Source organism: Homo sapiens, chromosome 9 (assembly GCF_000001405.40).
Source record: "Homo sapiens chromosome 9, GRCh38.p14 Primary Assembly".
Taxonomy (NCBI): domain Eukaryota; kingdom Metazoa; phylum Chordata; class Mammalia; order Primates; family Hominidae; genus Homo; species Homo sapiens.
The window spans coordinates 100,515,914-100,538,551 of NC_000009.12; the positions used below are offsets into that span (position 1 = coordinate 100,515,914).

The following is a 22,638-nucleotide window of genomic DNA, read 5'->3' on the forward strand; positions in this document are numbered from 1 at the left end:
CCCTGGCCAGTTTGAGATTATCAGGATATGATCCACTCTAGTTGAGACCCACAAAGTGTAAGGCCCTTTCAGTGTGGAATGTGAGCTGAGTTTGGGGCTGGAGGTATTTAGTGTTTTTATTTTTTTCTTTTGCGTTGGAGCATAAGAGACCTGCATACTTTTGTATCTGCATATTTTTGGCTGTGCTAAGTGACCAAGTAGAAAAAGAAGAAAAGTCCTTTACAAAGAGACCCTTTTCCATTTTAAAATTTGGAGATAAGTATTTTTTTTTAAACTCTGAAATTAGTTTTTATGTAGTTAGAAAGACAAGTATGAAACTGATGTGAGGAAAAGGTGAGAGTTACATTCTTTTGTGGTCAGGCGCTTATCTGCTGACCAGCTTTGCACAGGCTGATTGCAACAGGAGGGTAATCACAGGACTTAAATGTATTGCTCCTGTCTCTTTTCTTTCTCCCTTATTCAGTGTTATATGGTAATTTTTCTTAAAAAAGCAATTCATTATCAAACCTACTGTGTAGTTCTGCCTACATAGTTTAAGGGATCATTTTTCAGCACCAAAACTTGTTTTCCTCACAAAATATGTTGTACTCAGTACTGGCAACATTTTTGAACTTCAAGCATTGGTAGATTTTGGAAGTGACTGTTTTCAAGAGCTCAGGTACATTTTCCTCAGAAACAGGATAATGACTGCTGAAAACATGAAGCATATCTGGAAAGGATCCCAACTTTTGGTTGTAAATTTGATTTTTCTTTTTAAACAGAAGAGGAAGGGTCAGGGGCAGAAGTTCACAGAAAACACTCCAAGTGTGGACCCTGCAAATATAAAGCTGAGTGTGATGAAGATGCAGAAAATGTTGGGTGAGTTGGTTGAGGGGAAGGGACAAAGTTATTTAGAGATTAATCATCAGTATGATTATATTGTGGAAAGGTATCATTTACCTGGTTCTGTATCTTTTGTGTGTTTTCAAATTTTTTTTTTGTTTAATGCTAGTCTATTGACTTTTAAATTGATATAATACTATGGCTATTTAAATCAGTTTAAGTGTTATAATTTTAGAATGATAATCCATTTATAGTTTTCTGGTTTTATCTATGCTTTTCTTCCTCCCTGTAGTTTTATAGTTTTATGTATTTTATACCAAGTGCTTTTCTCACTCATGTTCAGCCTTCATTAAGGTAGGTTTTGTAGCTGACAGCACTGTCTGTCCAATTTCCCATTCATTCCCTGTAAGAAATGGTGTTCTTTTTTAGAACAGTAAGGCTGCAGACATTTATCAACAGTCATGTTTGATTTTTCCTTTCATCAGTATTCTTATTTATTTCCAATATCATTCTTCTTTCATTTTCCTGTGGTGCTGGCTTTTTGCATATTTGATTCTAAAAGCTTTAATGTTGACTTTAGGACCTGGGAGCATAAATGGATCTTCTTCACTTCCTCAGTTTTCACTTAGTATCTATTTTAAAACATTTATTTCCATAAGATATTTGTGCTTTCTTCCTTACTTGTACATATTTTTGGTGTGTATTTTCCAGTTCCGTATTTATTCAGCCCGTAACTGCATATTCGAGCCTTTCACTGAACAGTAATAATATGATCTAATTAGCATTAATGTCCAAAGTTAGTTTTGCAAATTAAGAACACTCAATTTTCAGTATTATGTACAAAATCAGCTATTTGGATGGCACTTGGTAAAATTGTATTAATTTATTTGGTGCATATTTCAAAGTGGGTGAGAACTGGCAAAAGACAAGTAAGTTCAATAATAAATGAACTCAACAAAACCTGAATTTACTGTTTCTGCATATTGGTCACATAGATTGACCCATGTCCATTCATTTCATTCAGAGTGGTTTGATTTGGAAGAACATGTTTTCCAAAGCAGATACTGGCCTATAGAACAATAGAGAAATGATGAGCAATATGGACTTACAGAGAGAACTGATAATAGATATTATGCTGTTTCTTCCTTTTATTTTGTACTAATGATATGGCATGATGAAACACCTTAATATAGGTATATGTGTCAGTATTTTTCCTTAGTACTCTTCTGTATTAGTGTTCAGAGTCAAAATAGCTGTCAGTGATTGATTGGCTTGATCAATTGGTCTGTTTTTATTCCTTTCGCGGTGCTTCTATTCATCCCTATTTTATACATTTTTCTATTATCATTTTTCATGCCTAAATTTAAAAAGATGGAGGTCTTTTGCTTAGAATTGAAACATATTCCATCTAGTCTCAGAAGTGGCTCCAGATGTGACATCTGCATAATAGGCTGGGTGCAATGGCTCATGTCTGTAATCCCAGTGCTTTGGGAGGCTTAGGTGGGAGGAATGCTTGAGGCTGGGAGTTCTAGACATCTACATGATAAAATACATATCTTTATGTAAACACCTCCTCATAGTGTAATATGTAGCCTATTCCCAATCAGAGCAACTCTGTTGTGTTTACTAAATTAATTTTTTGTGTGTCTATTTATCTGAGAGCTTGCCACCACTATTGTTGCAGATACCAGCTCTAAGCATAAGGAAGTGGACATAGACCATGGAAGGGCTTACCAATAGTAAGGAGCATGCAGGCTCTTACCAGCAGGCTAAGGAGCACATAGACAGTGACAAGCAGCCAACGTCAGGCAAGGAAATTGATGCAACAAGAGGAAAATACGAAGGAAGCAGTTGGTATCTTTATCTAGAAAAAAGTGATTAAGCTAAAGTGTTTGATCCTTCTATGGAAAGAGACAAAAGGAAATGTTGGTAATATCTAATCTTTTAGTCTGTAAAGCACTTGTTACTGATTGCAGTTGTTTTAACAGTGTAAATGTATCTCAGTGGTTATTTTTTTTTAACTTTTAAATGGGCCATGGTACCAAGAAAGTTATATAGTGGTTATGTAACTCCCTCAAAGCACCTTCCATGTGTTTTTCATGGTTGCTAACCAGGTGAATAGTGATGTATCTAAAGGTAATTTTTACCTATCCAGCTGGGCCGTTTAGGTCTGGAAAATGGAAAGCTGCAGAAATATGACATTAGCCATTAAGTCTTGATTTTTATATAAAAACCTATTATTTATTAAGATGTTACATAATTTCCTTATTAAAAGATAAACTTTTAGTTATTAAGAACAAAAGCTCAGTTTAATTCAAGTAGTTCTGTTATGACTTAATTATTATGAACTGCATTGGAATCAGAGTATTAAGGTAGGATCTTAATATTTATCTTCAGGCAGGGCGCAGTGGCTCATGCCTGTAATCTCAATCTCAGCACTTTGGCGGGCAGAGCATGAGGTCAAGAGATCAAGACCATCCTGACCAACATGATGAAAACCCGTCTCTAATAAAAATACAAAAATTAGCTGGGTGTGGTGGCATGCACCTGTAGTCCCAGCTACTCGGGAGGCTGAGGCAGGAGAATTGCTTGAACCTGGTAGGCAGAGGTTTCAGTGAGCCAAGATTGCGCCACTGTACTCCAGCCTGGCGATGGAGTGAGACTCCATCTCAAAAGACTAAATAAATAAATAAATAAATAATAAAAAATTTATCTTCTAGTCTGATCCTCTCACTTCAAAGATGAAATCATTGACGACTAAAGTCAGAGGGTTTGATGTGGGTATATTCTTCTAATTAATAGTACAGTGCTTTTCTTACCATCTGCCTCTTTCTAATTTTCCTTTAAAGAAAAAAATTCCCGGAAGGAATGTTATCTTCTTTTTCCTACTTTGAGGACTGCTGCCCAGTGACTTTTTTTTTTTTTTTTTTTTTTTTTTTTTAACAAAAACACTGCCCTCTTCATCAGCCTGGTCCCAGCTGTGATTTCTTTACTTCTGTATTAAGTCTTGGTCACTCTGAGTACTAGCTGCTTTTAAATTCTGTTAGTTCTTAGCTGGCATCTAGAAATCAAATGCCTATTTATTGAATTTCTTACCAGTGACTTTCAGTCTTTTTTGACTACACTTCATGTAAAAAATACATTTGCATTGTTATCCAGCACTCCTGTTTATATACACATGGTACTAATAAATATTAAGTCAAACAAAATTCTGTGGAATAGTACTTACCTTTATTAAATGCAATGTACTCTAATATTTTCTATCCTACTTTCTTATAAAATACTGGCAGTGAACCACTAAATTGACTTCATAATCCACTAGTGATTATGACCTACAGTTTGAAAAGTATTGCTCTATAGTAAACTATAATAGATGTGTACTGCATGTATTTTTTTAGGTGTAAGTATTCATTTAAAATTTTATTGTATGCCAGCTGTGGTGGCTTACATCTGTAATCTCAGAACCTTTAGAAGGCCAAGGCAGGAGGATTGCTTGAGCCTGGGAGATCTAGGCTGCAGTGAGCCATGATTGCGCCACTGTGCTCCAGCCTGGGTGACACAGCAAGACCCTGTCTCCAAAAACAAATGAACAAACAACCCAGAAAATCAAATGTACTTTGTCTTTTCTCAATTTGAAATGTCTTTCCTGTCAGAAAAAATGTTATCCAACCTATCTGATTTGCAAAGAGCAGCTAAAATCTTTCTCTTGCTTTTAAAAATTCTTTCTCTTGCTAATGGTTGTTAAAAAAATCTGGCATTTTGGTGAGGGGATAAGTGATACCGTGTAAGTTAATTTTCTGCTATTAAGAGAAGTGCTTTTTTTAAATTTAGCCATTTAAATAGAAATTGATTTAAATACATTACATACTTCTTTGCCTTCTTAAACAGAATATACAGAACATGTTTAACATACTCTTACAATTACATATGTAGTATATTACAGTTTTCAGAGCATTTTTTACACATAATATATTTTTAAGCTATTCTGAGCAGTTCTGTTTGGTAGTAGAGCAAGGAAGTATTATCCTGATTTTTATAGGTGAAGGTGAGTTCAGAAAGGCTGAATGGAGAACCAGAACATAGGTCTCATGACAAGGAATCAGTCTATTGTGTTGTGCATGCACATGTAGAGGCCCATGATGTGTGGTTGTTTCACTGCTGCACTTAAGGCTTCATTTAGCTTTGTGTTTTGGGTTCTATATCTGTTTTTTAAAAATGTTTTCTTCTCTCTTGTAAGGCTGTTAGCTGCTGCTTCTAGATGCTGTCAGTGTGCCTTGGCAATGAGTTTGACTGTAGATGCCCTCAATTTTTAATTTGCTTCTCTGCTTCCCTGGAATAGGAAACAAACACTCGCAGAAACTGTATCTAAAGTAAGAATAAGTTCTAAATGTAAAATAAGAGTGTATAGGTTCTTCTGAGTGAAGTGCGTGAACTTTATTCATTGTATGTGTTTTATCTGTCTTGTCTGCTCAATGGCTATTGTAATTCATTTATAATTTAAATTATTTTTGCTTCTAAGAGGCTTCCCCCTCACCCTTCCTTCCTGAAACTCACTGCATTTCTTTGATGGCATCGTGGGCTTTGCTTGGGTTTGTGACAGTTATGTTCGTTAATGCTTACCTTTCAAATTTATACCTAGAGGTGTAGGTGGTTGAGGCTCCAAGAAATATGACTCCCCACATAAGTGGGTTTCAGTATTTCACTGTGACCACTGTGAAACAGTGCATAGACTTCCTACTGGGTCTTAAAACTTGAAAACAGCCTTCCTTTACAGCAACTTGTATTTCTTAAACCACATATTCTTAGTACCACACCCCCTCACTTTCTAAACAGTATTTCTAATCTGTCCAAGGCCGAAGTTATTGTTGTAAGATAGCCATCAGCTGCTTCTCTGGATAGTGGGGACACATAATCATAGGACTCCTTCACTTCAGTACCTTTTATATACCCGACCTAAATCCCTGCCCAGGAATGGTGTGAGGAGTCTGTAGAATCATCAGGCCTAATGCCAATACAGGTGAGTTATAAAAATCCTCCAGTTATTCCTTTTGAACTTTGTCTGCAATGCACTTTATGGAAATAGCCCCTGCTCTTCTGCCTTTTTTATGTCAGTCTCCTTTTTAGAGATGCTGTTTCCATTTATCCCCCTGAGTGATATAAATATCTCAGAGTTGCTCAGAGAATCATACAGGTGCAGGGTATGGCAGACAACATGGATAACCAGTTTAATCCACCTGCTGGACATCTTAGTCATTTGTGGTACCATTTTCTGTTTTGATGCAGATTTCTGGTCAGTACTACAATATGACGAGTCTCTCCCTCAGAAGGTGCAGTGATATCTTTTCTCTTGTGTAAACAGAGTAATGCTACACATTTGTGTCCTGCAATATATCCTCCTTTCTGGAAGCTTCATGTACTTTTTAAAACAAGAACTGAAGAAGTACCTTTTCTATCCTTCTGTTTTTATTTCCTCCTAATCAGAGATGGCAGTAATTTTTGTCATTTAGCACTGCCTTATTCTGGATATTTTAAAACTATTTTTAGGTTTAGTAAGTCCCTACTGTAGCCCCTTAGATTATAATGGAAAAATAATTTTGTGTTGTTTTTTAAAACACAAACATTATTAAGCATTATTTTATCCAAAGTATAATCTGGATGTTAGTAATGACAGGTTCCTTTATCCAGAAATATCTTCTTTTTTTTTTTTTTTTTTTTTTTTTGAGACGGAGTTTTGCTCTGTCGCCCAGGCCGGAGTGGAGTGGCACAATCTTGGCTCACTGCAACTTCCGCCTCCCGGGTTCAAGCAGTTCTCTGCCTCAGCCTCCCAAGGAGCTGGGATTACAGGTACCTGCCACCACGCCTGGCTAATTTTTGTATTTTTAGTAGAGATGGGGTTTCACCATCTTGGCCAGGCTGGTCTTGAACTCCTGATCTCGTGATCCACCTGCCTCGGCCTCCCAAAGTGCTGGGATTACAGGCCTGAGCCACTGCACCTGGCCTTCCAGAAATATCTTTTTGAGACCAAGTCTTGCTCTGTCGCCCAGGCTGGAGTGCAGTGGCATGATCTCGGCTCACTGCAAGCTCCGCCTCTGGGGTTCACGCCATTCTCCTGCCTCAGCCTCTCGAATAGCTGGGACCACAGGTGCCCGCCACCACACCCAGCTAATTTTTTGTATTTTTTTTTAGTAGGGATGGGGTTTCACCGTGTTAACCAGGATGGTCTTGATCTCCTGACTTAGTGATTCGCCCGCCTCAGCTTCCCAAAGTGCTGGGATTGCAGGCGTGGGCTACCACGCCCAGCCCAGAAATACCTTCTTAAAGTCCTTTGACAGTTGCCAGTAAGAGAGTTTTGCCTTTAAAATGCAAAACTCCGTCTCCCCATAATCTCTTGCAATTTTCTGAATGCACTGTTATTATTGAACACTTTCTTACCCACTTTGCCCCTGTTATTCCCTGTGCCTGGAGTCCCATTCCTGTTTATCAGCTTATTTTAACTCCTATTCCTCCTTCTAGCCTTAGATGCCGTGTGACTTAGGTCAGATTCACCACCTCTTCTTATAAGCCTACCTTGCGTTCTCCCACAGTTCCTATGTGACCATATTCTGTGTCCCTCCTTGGTCTTGAAAAAGCAACCTCTGCATAGCACTAAGTAGACTGTGAGCTTCCTGAGGGCAGGGACTTTGTCTTGCTGATTTTTGTCTTGGGTAAACTGCCTATAAGGTTGGGTATCTTAGGATGGACCCTTTTATAGGCCTTTGTTGAATTAGTGGCAATCGACACTAGGCCTTTATTATTCACTTAGAGCTGCTTACAGGGTGGTTGTAAGGATTTAATATGTGTGAAAAAGACTAGCGTTGAATTTGTTGCAGGCTTTATTAGGTGTTTGTTAAATCTCAGTAACTTGACATGAATTAGTTTAAGCCAATGTTTTCCTAACTGCTAAATAAACTTACTATATTGAGAAGAAATGGTACTTTCTATATAGGGTTAAGAAAAAAGGAAGCAAAAGTGTGGATGTTTTTCAGTAATAATACCATTCAGATGTGCACAGTATTTGATAGATTTCAAAGGACTTTTTACAAAATCTTATTTGATCCTGTCAGCAGTGTTTTGAGGTATTATCCCTGTTTTAAAGACTTGGAGTTGTGATTTGCCAAAATTATAGTGCTAAATCATAGAAGGTATTGAATTTATGCATTCATTTATGTATGTATATATGCATTCATGCCTTCGAAATTTAGTGCTGCCAATTCAAAAGCTTAAAAAGGCTCTAGAGTGAAAGGTCTCACTTCCACCCCTGTTCCCAGTCACTCAGTTGCCTTCACTAGAGACAGTCACTGTGATCTGTTTCTTGTTTAATCTCCTGGGGTATTTTATGTATGTGCAAGCAGATATGTACATATATTCTTTTATTTAAAAAAAAAAAACTAATGGCATCACACTATACCCGTAGTTCTGTACCTTATTTAAAATCTTTATTGTAAAATGTATACTGTATACAAAAGTGTTTAAACATACATGTGCAATTTAAGGAATACCTGTTAAAAACTACCTATGTACCTAACACCTAGGGTACAAAATAGAATACTGCTATTATTTCCAGTACCTTGTGTTAACCTAGCCATGGAAGGAAAGGGCAATAGTGCCCACTTAGAGAGGAAGGCTTACGGAAGACACTTTGAACAGCCTCTGTGGCAGGGTCTGGTTTTCAGCTCCTCAGAGAGTTTACAAGGTTCCCTTTTGGGGAAGTCAGTGGACAAAGCCATGAGTATTGGAGTCACAGGGTCATGGAGAACGTAGGCTCACTATAGTTGAGGCATCTGATAGGATTCTAATGTCTGGATCACTGGTAGAAATGTGATCAGAATGGACTGCTCTGCTCTGTGTTGTTTACTTATAATCTCCCCATAGCTCATCTTCAGCTGTCAGGAGTATGTCAATTAACTGAGTGGGTTGAGTTGTTCTTGCAGCAGGACATGGAGGGGAGAGCAGGAACTTCATTATCTTCATTTATTTTTTTTTATTATACTTTAAGTTCTGGGGCACATGTGCACAACGTGCAGATTTGTTACATAGTGCATGTGCCATGATGGTTTGCTGCACCCATCAACTTGTCATTTACATTAGGTATTTCTCCTAATGCTATCCCTCCCCCAGACCCCCACCCCTGGCAGGCCCCGGTGTGTGATGAGGAACTTCATTATCTTATGGTCAAGCCAAGCCAACTGCAGATAAGAATCTGGGCCAGGCTTACCTGGGCAGTCTATCTTCTGACTGAAAGTTGGGTACGGTAGCACTAGGCATCTTAGTAATGATGGCCATCCACACAGCTGTCTATAGAGTTAAACTATTTCATTGTGGACTGATTGCCCTCTACACCTTGTATATAGCTGTCATCCCAGGATCTCCCTTCAGTGTGGTGTCTTTTCCAACAACAATCGATTTTCCAACTCTCTGACACTACCTAGATGTCCAACAATTCAATTAAATTCTGACAGTAACTACTTGGAGTTAGCGCAGACCCACGGTTAAGGACTCAGTCCCATAAGACTGCCCCCGCTTTATAACCAGCTGCAAATGAGGTCCCCAGGCTACCCCCACTTCTGCCCAGATGACCATAAATTTTGGAGTTCCCATGCCCTAGCTAATTTGCTAAAACACAGAACTTGGGAAAGCACTATACTTATTATTTGTAAAGGATACAAATGATCAGCCAGATGAAGAAGTACATAAAGCAAGGTCCAGAAGGGTCCTGAGTGCAGGAGCGTCTGTCCCCATGGAGTCAAGTGCACCACCGAGATGTGCTCCCTCACCGGAAGCTCCCGAACCCCCCGTATTCTGAGTTTTTAAACTGAAGTTTTATTATGTAATCGTGACTGGTTAACTCATTGGTCATTGGTGATTGAACTTAACATCCAACCCCTGTCCCCTTCCCAGAGGTAGAAGAATTGGGGTGGGGCTGGGAGGCAGAAGTTCTAACCCTCTAATCACTGTGGTTGGTTTTTCTGGTGACATTAACTCCCTGCCCCCTCACCCCATGAGTCATCTCACTAGAATATAAGAACTCTCCTATCACTCAAGATATGTCAAGGGAACTCTATACCAGGAACTGGGAACAAAGACCATGAATACTTATTATTATACCACTAGGATCTTCCTAGAAATTCCTTTGTCTCTCTCTCCTATATAGGGTACTGTATTTCTTCTATTTTTGCTTCTAACTTCTTGGTTTTACTCTCCTATTTTATTACTTCTTTTAGCAGCTTCTTATGAAAAGGTGTGAGATTTTAAAAACGTTTGAGACCTTGTTTGAAGTGTTTAGGTATTTTTATTCCACACCTAATATTTTATTCAGAACTTTGCAAGTGCATAATTCGAGCTGTGAGACAAATTTCCCTGAGAATTAAGAAAGTGTTGCTTTGTTGTCTTCTAGCTTCCAGTGTTGCTGTTGAAGTCTAAAGCCATTCTAATTCTTGATCTTTTGTATATGATTTTTTTTCTCTCTTGAAGCATGTAGAGTCTTCTTTTGGTCTCCAGTGTAGTGATATCTCACAATGTTATGCCCTTTCCTAGATACTTACTGACTTCCATTTTGAAAAATTTTCTTTAGTTATTTGATGATTTCCCTTCCTCTTTTTTCTATTTTTGGTACTCCTGTTACGTGAATGTTGACATCCTGGTCTAGTCTCATTTTATCTTTTTTTCCCCTGTTTTCTGTTTTAAGTTTTTTTTGCTGTACTTTTTGAGAAATTTCTTCAACTTTATGAGTTTTTCATTTCTGCTGCAATTTTTAATTTCCAGGAGCTCATTTTTGTTTTCAGAGTACTCATTTTTAGAGCACTTTACTTTTATAAAGATTGCAGTCTGTTTTGGTACATATACGTTATTAGTTGGTATTCTATCTATTGAAAGAGTGAGATTTTCTTTTCTATCAATCATTCAGGACTCATGGATTTTTCTTTTATTCATTTGTAGTCAATGAGTTATAATTGTTCTTTTGTTTAGTTTTTAATGTTATGTGGCCTTTTAAAATGAGTTAGGGAGTGTTTTTTTCTAGTCTCTGGATGACTTTGTGTAAGAGTGAAATTATCTACTTTTGGCCGGGCATGGTGCACATGCCTGTCAATGCTTTGGGAGACCGAGGTGGGCAGATCACCTGAGATCAGGAGTTCAAGACCAGCCTGGGCAACATGGTGAAACCCTGTCTCTGCTAAAAATACAAAAAAAAAAAAAAAAAAAAAAAAAAGGGAAAAAAAAATTAGCCGGGCGTGGTGGCACATAACTGTAATTCCAGCTACTCTGGAGGCTGAGACACAAGAATCTCTCAAACCCGAGAGGCGGAGGTTGCAGTGAGCCAAAATCGCGCCACTGCACTCCAGCCTGGGCGACAGAGTGAAACTCTGTCTTAAAAAAAAAAAACAAAACTACCTACTTTGAAAGATTGGAATGGATGTGTTCATGAATTGTCTTTTTAAAAAATGCCTGGATCCGGAGGGGAGGAGCCAAGATGGCCGAATAGGAACAGCTCCGGTCTACAGCTCCCAGCGTGAGCCACGCAGAACACGGTGATTTCTGCATTTCCATCTGAGGTACCAGGTTCATCTCACTAGGGAGTGCCAGACAGTGGGCACAGGTCAGTGGGTGCGCGCACAGTGCGTGAGCCGAAGCAGGGCGAGGCATTGCCTCACTCGGGAAGTGCAAGGGGTGAGGGATTTCCCTTTCCGAGTCAAAGAAAGGGGTGACAGACGGCACCTGGAAAATCGGGTCACTCCCACCCGAATACTGCGCTTTTCCGACGGGCTTAAAAAACGGCACACCACGAGATTATATCCCGCACCTGGCTCGGGGGGTCCTACACCCATATAGTCTCGCTGATGGCTAGCACAGCAGTCTGAGATCAAACTGCAAGGCGGCAGCGAGGCTGGGGGAGGGGCACCCGCCATTGCCCAGGCTTGCTTACGTAAACAAAGCAGCCGGGAAGCTCGAACTGGGTGGAGCCCACCACAGCTCAAGGAGGCCTGCCTGCCTCTGTAGGCTCCACCTCTGGGGGCAGGGCACAGACAAACAAAAAGACAGCAGTAACCTCTGCAGACTTAAATGTCCCCGTCTGACAGCTTTGACGAGAGCAGTGGTTCTCCCAGCACGCAGCTGGAGATCTGAGAACAGGCAGACTGCCTCCTCAAGTGGCTCCCTGACACCTGACCCCCGAGCAGCCTAACTGGGAGGTACCCCCAAGCAGGGGCACACTGACACCTCACACGGCAGGGTATTCCAACAGACCTGCAGCTGAGCGTCCTGTCTGTTAGAAGGAAAACTAACAAACAGAAAGGACATCCACACCAAAAACCCATCTGTACATCACCATCATCAAAGACCAAAAGTAGATAAAACCACAAAGATGGGGAAAAAACAGAACAGAAAAACTGGAAACTCTAAAAAGCAGAGCGCCTCTCCTCCTCCAAAGGAACACAGTTCCTCACCAGCAACGGAACAAAGCTGGATGGAGAATGACTTTGACGAGCTGAGAGAAGAAGGCTTCAGACGATCAAATTACTCTGAGCTACGGGAGGACATTCAAACCAAAGGCAAACAAGTTGAAAACTTTGAAAAAAATTTAGAAGAATGTATAACTAGAATAACCAATACAGAGAAGTGCTTAAAGGAGCTGATGGGGCTGAAAATCAAGGCTCGAGAACTACGTGAAGAATGCAGAAGCCTCAGGAGCCGATGCGATCAACTGGAAGAAAGGGTATCAGCGATGGAAGATGAAATGAATGAAATGAAGCGAGAAGGGAAGTTTAGAGAAAAAAGAATAAAAAGAAATGAGCAAAGCCTGCAAGAAATATGGGACTATGTGAAAAGACCAAATCTACGTCTGATTGGTGTACCTGAAAGTGATGGGGAGAATGGAACCAAGTTGGAAAACACTCTGCAGGATATTATCCAGGAGAACTTCCCCAATCTAGCAAGGCAGGCCAACGTTCAGATTCAGGAAATACAGAGAACGCCACAAAGATACTCCTCGAGAAGAGCAACTCCAAGACACATAATTGTCAGATTCACCAAAGTTGAAATGAAGGAAAAAATGTTAAGGGCAGCCAGAGAGAAAGGTCGGGTTACCCACAAAGGGAAGCCCATCAGACTAACAGCAGATCTCTCGGCAGAAACCCTACAAGCCAGAAGAGAGTGGGGGCCAATATTCAACATTCTTAAAGAAAAGAATTTTCAACCCAGAATTTCATATCCAGCCAAACTAAGCTTCATAAGTGAAGGAGAAATAAAATACTTTGCAGACAAGCAAATGCTGAGAGATTTTGTCACCACCAGGCCTGCCCTAAAAGAGCTCCTGAAGGAAGCGCTAAACATGGAAAGGAACAACCGGTACCAGCCGCTGCAAAATCATGCCAAAATGTAAAGACCATCAAGACTAGGAAGAAACTGCATCAACTAACGAGCAAAATAACCAGCTAACATCATCATGACAGGATCAAATTCACACATAACAATATTAACTTTAAATGTAAATGGACTAAATGCTCCAATTAAAAGACACAGACTGGCAAATTGGATAAAGAGTCAAGACTCATCAGTGTGCTGTATTCAGGAAACCCATCTCATGTGCAGAGACACACATAGGCTCAAAATAAAAGGATGGAGGAAGATCTACCAAGCAAATGGAAAACAAAAAAAGGCAGGGGTTGCAATCCTAGTCTCTGATAAAACAGACTTTAAACCAACAAAGATCAAAAGAGACAAAGAAGGCCATTACATAATGGTAAAGGGATCAATTCAACAAGAAGAGCTAACTATCCTAAATATATATGCACCCAATACAGGAGCACCCAGATTCATAAAGCAAGTCCTGAGTGACCTACAGAGAGACTTAGACTCCCACACATTAATAATGGGAGACTTTTAACACCCCACTGTCAACAGTAGACAGATCAACGAGACAGAAAGTCAACAAGGATACCCAGGAATTGAACTCAGCTCTGCACCAAGCGGACCTAATAGACATCTACAGAACTCTCCATCCCAAATCAACAGAATATACATTTTTTTCAGCCCCACACCACACCTATTCCAAAATTGACCACATAGTTGGAAGTAAAGCTCTCCTCAGCAAATGTAAAAGAACAGAAATTATAACAAATTATCTCTCAGACCGCAGTGCAATCAAACTAGAACTCAGGATTAAGAATCTCACTCAAAACCGATCAACTACATGGAAACTGAACAACCTGCTCCTGAATGACTACTGGGTACATAACGAAATGAAGGCAGAAATAAAGATGTTCTTTGAAACCAACGAGAACAAAGGCACAACATACCAGAATCTCTGGGACGCATTCAAAGCAGTGTGTAGAGGGAAATTTATAGCACTAAATGCCCACAAGAGAAAGCAGGAAAGATCCAAAATTGACACCCTAACATCACAATTAAAAGAACTAGAAAAGCAAGAGCAAACACATTCAAAAGCTAGCAGAAGGCAAGAAATAACTAAAATCAGAGCAGAACTGAAGGACACAAAAAACCCTTCAAAAAATTAATGAATCCAGGAGCTGGTTTTTTGAAAGGATCAACAAAATTGATAGACTGCTAGCAAGACTAACAAAGAAAAAAAGAGAGAAGAATCAAATAGACGCAATAAAAAATGATAAAGGGGATATCACCACCGATCCCACAGAAATATAAACTACCATCAGAGAATACTACAAACACCTCTACGCAAATAAACTAGAAAATCTAGAAGAAATGGATAAATTCCTCGACACATACACCCTCCCAAGACTAAATCAGGAAGAAGTTGAATCTCTGAATAGACCAATAACAGGATCTGAAATTGTGGCAATAATCAATAGTTTACCAACCAAAAAGAGTCCAGGACCAGATGGATTCACAGCCGAATTCTACCAGAGGTACAAGGAGGAACTGGTACCATTCCTTCTGAAACTATTCCAATCAATAGAAAAAGAGGGAACCCTTCCTAACTCTTTTTATGAGGCCAGCATCATTCTGATACCAAAGCCGGGCAGAGACACAACCAAAAAAGAGAATTTTAGACCAATATCCTTGATGAACATTGATGCAAAAATCCTCAATAAAATACTGGCAAAACGAATCCAGCAGCACATCAAAAAGCTTATCCACCATGGTCAAGTGGGCTTCATCCCTGGCATGCAAGGCTGGTTCAATATACGCAAATCAATAAATGTAATCCAGCATATAAACAGAGCCAAAGACAAAAACCACATGATTATCTCAATAGATGCAGAAAAAGCCTTTGACAAAATTCAACAACCCTTCATGCTAAAAACTCTCAATAAATTAGGTATTGATGGGACATATTTCAAAATAATAAGAGCTATCTATGACAAACCCACAGCCAATATCATACTGAATGAGCAAAAACTGGAAGCATTCCCTTTGAAAACGGGCACAAGACAGGGATGCCCTCTCTCACCACTCCTATTCAACATAGTGTTGGAAGTTCTGGCCAGGGCAATTAGGCAGGAGAAGAAAATAAAGGGTATTCAATTAGGAAAAGAGGAAGTCAAATTGTCCCTGTTTGCAGACGACATGATTGTATATCTAGAAAACCCGACTGTCTCAGCCCAAAATCTCCTTAAGCTGATAAACAACTTCAGCAAAGTCTCAGGATACAAAATCAGTGTACAAAAATCACAAGCATTCTTATACACCAACAACAGACAAACAGAGAGCCAAATCATGAGTGAGCTCCCATTCACAATTGCTTCAAAGAGAATAAAATACCTAGGAATCCAACTTACAAGGGATGTGAAGGACCTCTTCAAGGAGAACTACAAACCACTGCTCAATAAAATAAAAGAGGATACAAACAAATGGAAGAACATTCCATGCTCATGGGTAGGAAGAATCAATATCGTGAAAATGGCCATACTGCCCAAGGTAATTTACAGATTCAATGCCATCCCCATCAAGCTACCAATGCCTTTCTTCACAGAATTGGAAAAAACTACTTTAAAATTCATATGGAACCGAAAAAGAGCCCGCATTGCCAAGTCAATCCTAAGCCAAAAGAACAAAGCTGGTGGAGGCATCACACTACCTGACTTCAAACTATACTACAAGGCTACAGTAACCAAAACAGCATGGTACTGGTACCAAAACAGAGATATAGATCAATGGAACAGAACAGAGCCCTCAGAAATAACGCCGCATATCTACAACTATCTGATCTTTGACAAACCTGAGAAAAACAAGCAATGGGGAAAGGATTCCCTATTTAATAAATGGTGCTGGGAAAACTGGCTAGCCATATGTAGAAAGCTGAAACTGGATCCCTTCCTTACACCTTATACAAAAATCAATTCAAGGTGGATTAAAGACTTAAACGTTAGACCTAAAACCGTAAAAACCCTAGAAGAAAACCTAGGCATTACCATTCAGGACATAGGCATGGGCAAGGACTTCATGTCTAAAACACCAAAAGCAATGGCAACAAAAGCCAAAATTGACAAATGGGATCTAATTAAACTAAAGAGCCTCTGCACAGCAAAAGAAACTACTATCAGAGTGAACAGGCAACCTACAAAATGGGAGAAAATTTTTGCAACCTACTCATCTGACAAAGGGCTAATATCCAGAATCTACAATGAACTCCAACAAATTTACAAGAAAAAAACAACCCCATCAAAAAGTGGGCAAAGGACATGAACAGACATTTCTCAAAAGAAGACATTTATGCAGCCAAAAAACACATGAAAAAATGCTCATCATCACTGGCCATCAGAGAAATGCAAATCAAAACCACAATGAGATACCATCTCACACTAGTTAGAATGGCGATCATTAAAAAGTCAGGAAACAACAGGTGCTGGAGAGGATGTGGAGAAATAGGAACACTTTTACACTGTTGGTGGGACTGTAAACTAGTTCAACCATTGTGGAAGTCAGTGTGGCGATTCCTCAGGGATCTAGAACTGGAAATACCATTTGACCCAGCCATCCCATTACTGGGTATATACCCAAAGGACTATAAATCATGCTGCTATAAAGACACATGCACACGTATGTTTATTGCGTCATTATTCACAATCGCAAAGACTTGGAACCAACCCAAATGTCCAACAATGATAGACTGGATTAAGAAAATATGGCATATATACACCATGGAATACTATGCAGCCATAAAAAATGATGAGTTCATGTCCTTTGTAGGGACATGGATGAAATTGGAAATCATCATTGTCAGTAAACTATCGCAAGAACAAAAAACAAAACACTGCATATTCTCACTCATAGGTGGGAATTGAACAATGAGATCACATGGACACAGGAAGGGGAATATCACACTCTGGGGACTATTGTGGGGTGGGGGGAGGGGGGAGGGATAGCATTGGGAGATATACCTAATGCTAGATGACGATTTAGTGGGTGCAGCGCACCAGCATGGCACATGTATACATATGCAACTAACCTGCACAATGTGCACATGTACCGTAGAACTTAAAGTATAATAATAAAAAAAAAATGCCTGGATCCGATGCTATCTTTAAGGGACTTTTTAAGAACAACTGATTTAGTTTCTTTAATGATTAGTGTACCCTTAAGGTTCTATTGCCTTTTTTTTTAGAACTTGATAGAATTTTTAAAAAGTTGCTCATTTCACCTAGAGTTTCAAACTTGCTGGCATAATGTTGTTTACAATAACCTTTTATTATCTTTTAAATCATAATCCCTGTTGAAGTTTTAGTCTGTTTCATTACTGATACTGCTTTTTATCTTTTTCTCTCTCAGGAAAAAGCCTGCAGAAAAGCTTGCGTTATCAATTTGAAAGTCTTTTCAAAGAACCAACTTTTGGTTTTACTAACCTCTGTTGTAACTTTTAAATTTCTGTTGTTATATATTTTCCTTCTTTTTGTTTTTATTGGCTTTTTTTTCTGTTGTTCATTTTCTAACTTTTTAAATGGATGCTTAATTTTATTTTTTGTCTTTTTATTTTATTTATTTATTTTTTGAGACAGAGTCTCGCTCAGTCGCCAGGCTGGAGTGCAATGGTGCGATCTTGTTTCACTGCAACCTCCGCCTCCTGGGTTGAAGCGATTCTCCTGCCTCAGCCTCCCGAGTAGCTGGGATTACAGGCGTGCACCACCATGCCCAGCTAATGTTTGTATTTTTAGTAGAGATGAAGTTTCACCATGTTGGCCAGGATGGTCTTGATCTCCTGACCTCATGATCCACCCACCTCGACCTTCTAAAGTGCTGGGATTACAGGCGTGAGCCACCACTCCCGGCCTTTATCTATTCTTTTGAGCAAAAACTTTGAGGTGAGGGATGGAACCAGGAGGCTGTGTGGGGAAGTGTTTCAGGAAGAGGGAAAGCCTGAGGCAGGAGTGTCCCTAGTGTGTTAGAAAGAAAAGTGGGAGTGTTAGAAGTGGATGTGGTAGAGTTTCATGAAAAATTTTATGATAAACATGAAAAATGCCTTTTCATGTGGTACTTTCCATGCTCAGATATTTATTTGGTATAACAGCTGTAATGAATAGAGAAAACACTGGTCTCAGCCCCTCACTGGTTTTTTTGATTGGGGGCTTTTAGATTTCCTTCATATTCAGTTTCTGTATTGATAATTTAGAATTGTCAGGGTTAGATGAGGCAAATGTGACTATACCCACACAGTAGGTGCAGAGTAAATGTAGTTAAATGTTTCAAATTCAGCATATTTATTAAAGAGTGATTTCTATTCATTTGAGTGCACGCTTCTGTGCTTTGGGCATCCTGACCTCTGCTACGCTTGGCAGTCTGCAAACAGCTGTAATCACTATAATCAGTAGTATCCGTGGCCTCTGGAGTCTCATATTTTCCTCCTTCGCTCATTGTTTCACTGAGCTGGACTTTACTTGAAATGGTAATTTAATCTTCTTTCTTTGTATGCCATTGAAAACAGTAGTGATTGTTTTCACTGTTGTTAGTCTTAGATGCAGTGGTACCATCCCACTAAGGAGCACTGTCTTTTTCATACATTTGATCAAGGCATTTCCTGGTTGGGCTGCAATACCCACTATAAACAAAGCCACTTGTTAAACAAGTGATTACTTGTTTCTTATTGGACTGGTATGGTATTTTGCTATGTTGCTGTCATTTTCTTCCGTTAACCACCATTTCTATTTAACTGCCATCCCAGTTTTGCCCACTTTTATCCTTTAGGTCAGGGTGGGCAAAATTTTTTTGTAAAGGGCTAGATGGTAAATATATCAGGCTTAGCAGGCCACATGTGGTCTTCACCATACCTAACCTTTTAGAAATGTGAAAACCATTTTTAGCTTCTGGGTGTGCAAAAACAGACATTGGTCTGGATTGACCCACTTCTGTAATTGCCAGGATTGATCCCTACTTTAAACCATCCATCTATATATATATTTTTAATATATGGTAAAATGACAGCAAATAGTGCCTTTATTCCAGGTTGAGCTGTACTTTTTTCCCCCTTGTTGTTTCTTAATTCCTTTTATTTTTCATTACTTCTTCATTTTCTTCACCTTTGTGTTTTCTACCTGTGTTCTCCATGAATCAAGAAATCTGTTATGCTTAGTGAACGCTTTGTTTTATCCCTTTCCTTAATTACTTAATTCATATCATTTAAAAATGTTTCCCATTCCTTGGGGGCATATTGAAAGGAAAGAAGCACTTCCCTTTTTTGAATCATCCCTTTTATTACCTTTCTCTCATTTTCCTTTACTAATAGGAATGTACCAGAAAATCTAACGGGGCTGAATGTGGTGGCTCACACCTGTAATCCCAGCACTTTGGGAGGCCGAGGTGGGGGAATCACTTGGGGTCAGGAGTTGGAGACCAGCCTGGCCAACATGGCCAAACCCTGCCTCTACCAAAAATATAAAAATTAGCCAGGCATGATGGCATGTGCCTGTAATCTTAGCTACTTGGGAGGCTGAGGCAGGCTTGGACCTGGGAGGCGGAGGTTGCAGTGAGCTGAGATTGTGCCACTGCACTCCAGCCTGAACGACAGAGTGAGACCGTATCTCAAAAAACAAAACAAAACTAAACTAACAACCACAAAGAAGAAAATCTGTTAACTTTACCAGATTGCTCTTTGAAATTAATTTTCTCTTCTCCTTTGCCTGATTTGACCCCCTCTATTCTGCTACTCTTTTTCACATTATTTCACTGCAGCTTACCTGTAGCCATGAGAATAATCATTCTCAAATATTGTTTTTATTATATTACTCCTTTAAAGACAAATATATATTTAGATTTGATATTTAATATAGTAATTTGGAATTTGGAGGGTATTTTAACAACCTTCTTTTATTTTGATATATTAAAAAACAATATCTTCTGTGGAAACGAGCATGGGCTCTCTCAAATGTAGCAGTGTGTATATAGATCAGGCTATGTTTATTAGTGCTAGAAGCGTGTCATTTATTTCAAAAGTAAAACTAATGGTATGTGTATATCAAGACCCTATTGAGAGAATCTGAAATACTGTTCTTTAGTAGAAAAAAATAGGTTAAATCTTTGAAAGCCCATTTCTAGGGGTAATGTCTTGGAAGTTTTTATGCAGACCTTGCCTCATATTGTAGGGCTCAAAAAATTTTTTAAATGAAAGTGGTTATTGCATGATTTTTTCTCCTTTATGCTGAGCCTTGAGGAAGAGGAACTGGGAACAAAAAAAACGAAGAGAAATATGGCCTTTCCTTGGAAAATTGAGCAGGGAGGTTCACAATTAATTTAATACCTCAAGTTTTGTTTAAGTAATGGGAAAAGTTTTTGTACATTTGTTTAATATAAAAAGCATTGTCACTAATTTTGGTAATGGGCAAGCCATGATCTTTGAGCCTCTGACCTTTTAGGATTACATTTCTTTTAAGTCTTCTCTTGATTATTAACTTTATTTCTGAGCACATGCTGAGATTGTTAGTAAGAGCATGCTAAATCTAACCTCTTTTTCTTTTTTGGTAGTGTGATAAGATTGTGGTACCAGGGCTGAGCCTTAACTGTAATGTATATGAATCTAAGCAAGATAATCATCAATCTGGCTTGGTATACATGACATAGGAAGTCAGGTCAGATGATAGTTGCAATTCTAGCTGGTTAACAACTTTTCTTAAAAGGTGTTCAGTAATGGATTCATTTTTCTAGAAACATTAAGGTAGGTTTCTTAGAATATGACATATGGCTATGTTTATTTTGTTCTAGTCAGTGCATTTATTGATGACTTGTCAACATTATGAATATGTCAGTCTGAAGAGATGTTACATGATAGAATTAGAGTCTAAAAGATTTCAGCATGCTGAGATAGATAATCTAAAATTTGATAGAGATAAATGTGAAGTCCTAACCCTGGGTTTCAGACAATAGTGGTGACATGTTTTGCAGGCCATACCTACAGAGTTGAGTATATTTAAGAAGTTAAGTATGTGTCTAAAGTTTGATGTGGTTATCAGAAAAGTTAATGCAATCCTGCCTGTGTTTATGTAAGCATAGTGTCCAGAACAGTTAAGGTAATAGCTTCTCTGTACTGTAGTCCTTGTTTTGTTCTTGGCCTCATATTATGAGATACTGAATTTGGAGGGTGATGAGGATGATATAACAAATGAATCATTGAATTAACTTCAGGTGAAAACTTATATTCAATATAATGATTATCTTTGAATCTTTAAATGATATTTTGGGCTTATTACATGTAGATTCAGAGGCCAGAGTTAGAGTCAATGGGTGGAAATTAATTAGGATGCATGTTTGGGGCTCAGCCCAGGTAATAACCACTCACCCATGAGATGTACTGCCTTGGTGAGATAGTAAGCTGTCTATTGCTACAGATGCTCTGGCAGGGGCAATGTAACAATAAGGTCACAAATACTGCTGAGAGGAGCCCTGCACTGAGTGGAAGATCAGAATAGATGGCTTTCTAAAGTCCTTTTCAGCATGGCATTCTTTCAATATTTGTTTAGATACAGAGATATTATGACTAAATGTTTGTGCACATGTTTTCACCCACGCATAGTAGATTGTTGTTCTCTGCATTTGTCTGCGCCCCTCCCTTATCCACAACTTTTACCTGAACTCACCTTCTGTGATTGGCTAACTTTATTTTCTTTGGTTCTTTCACCTCTTGTTTTCCAGAAATTAAATTTTTGGTACAATATATATTTTTTGACTTTAGTGAATATTCTTATGAACTAAAATTTTTTTCTGTTTCCTTAATTTTTAAATTATAAAATATATTCAAAAGTGTATGAAAACTAAAATATACACATTTGATTGAATGCGCAAAAATGAAATGAGCTTTTGTGAATCTACCTCCCAAGGCAAGAAACAGAATTTTTTTTTTTTGAGACAGACTCTCATGTTGCCAGGCTAGAGTGCATTGGCGCAGTATCAGTTCACTGCAACCTCCGCCTCCTGGGTTCAAATGATTCTCCTGTCTCAGCCTCCCGAGTAGCTGGGACTACAGGTGCCTGCCACCACGCCCGGCTAATTTTGTTTTTGTAGTTTTAGTAGAGATGGGGTTTCACCATGTTGGCCAGGATGGTCTCCATCTCTTGACCTTGTGATCCACCCGCCTCGGCCTCCCAAAGTGTTGGGATTACAGGCGTGAGCCTCTGTGCCCGGCCAGAAACAGAATTTTAGCAGTACAGTCGTCTGTCAGTATTTGGGGGGAATTCGTTCTGATACTCCCCTCAAATACCAAAATCTCAGGATGCTCAAAGCCCTGCAGTCGGCCCTGAGGATATGGAAGGCAGACTGTACTTCAGGGCCTCCCATGTCTCTCTCTAATTGCATCTGTCTCTCACCCACATGCTATACTGC

General features: G+C 39.1%; 2 protein-coding genes across 2 annotated transcripts in view, besides 1 other annotated feature; both read left to right on the plus strand.

Annotated features, from left to right (window-relative positions):
• The window catches only part of MSANTD3-TMEFF1 (MSANTD3-TMEFF1 readthrough), a 135,731-nt gene that overhangs the window by 74,008 nt on the left and 39,085 nt on the right, over positions 1-22,638 (plus strand). The window contains exon 5 of the mRNA NM_001198812.1: positions 762-858. Within this exon, the coding sequence (NP_001185741.1) occupies positions 762-858 (97 nt within the window). The remainder of the gene's footprint in view (positions 1-761; positions 859-22,638) is intronic.
• TMEFF1 (transmembrane protein with EGF like and two follistatin like domains 1) overlaps positions 1-22,638 on the plus strand; it is a 104,488-nt gene that overhangs the window by 42,765 nt on the left and 39,085 nt on the right. Inside the window, exon 5 of the mRNA NM_003692.5 lies at positions 762-858. Within this exon, the coding sequence (NP_003683.2) occupies positions 762-858 (97 nt within the window). The remainder of the gene's footprint in view (positions 1-761; positions 859-22,638) is intronic.
• Positions 11,578-12,131: an enhancer, noted in NCBI's record as "H3K27ac-H3K4me1 hESC enhancer chr9:103289773-103290326 (GRCh37/hg19 assembly coordinates)". NCBI's record gives its function as "activates a minimal SCP1, AML or CMV promoter by ChIP-STARR-seq in naive H9 embryonic stem cells {active_cell/tissue: H9 hESC(naive)}" and the evidence as "EXISTENCE:reporter gene assay evidence [ECO:0000049][PMID:30033119]".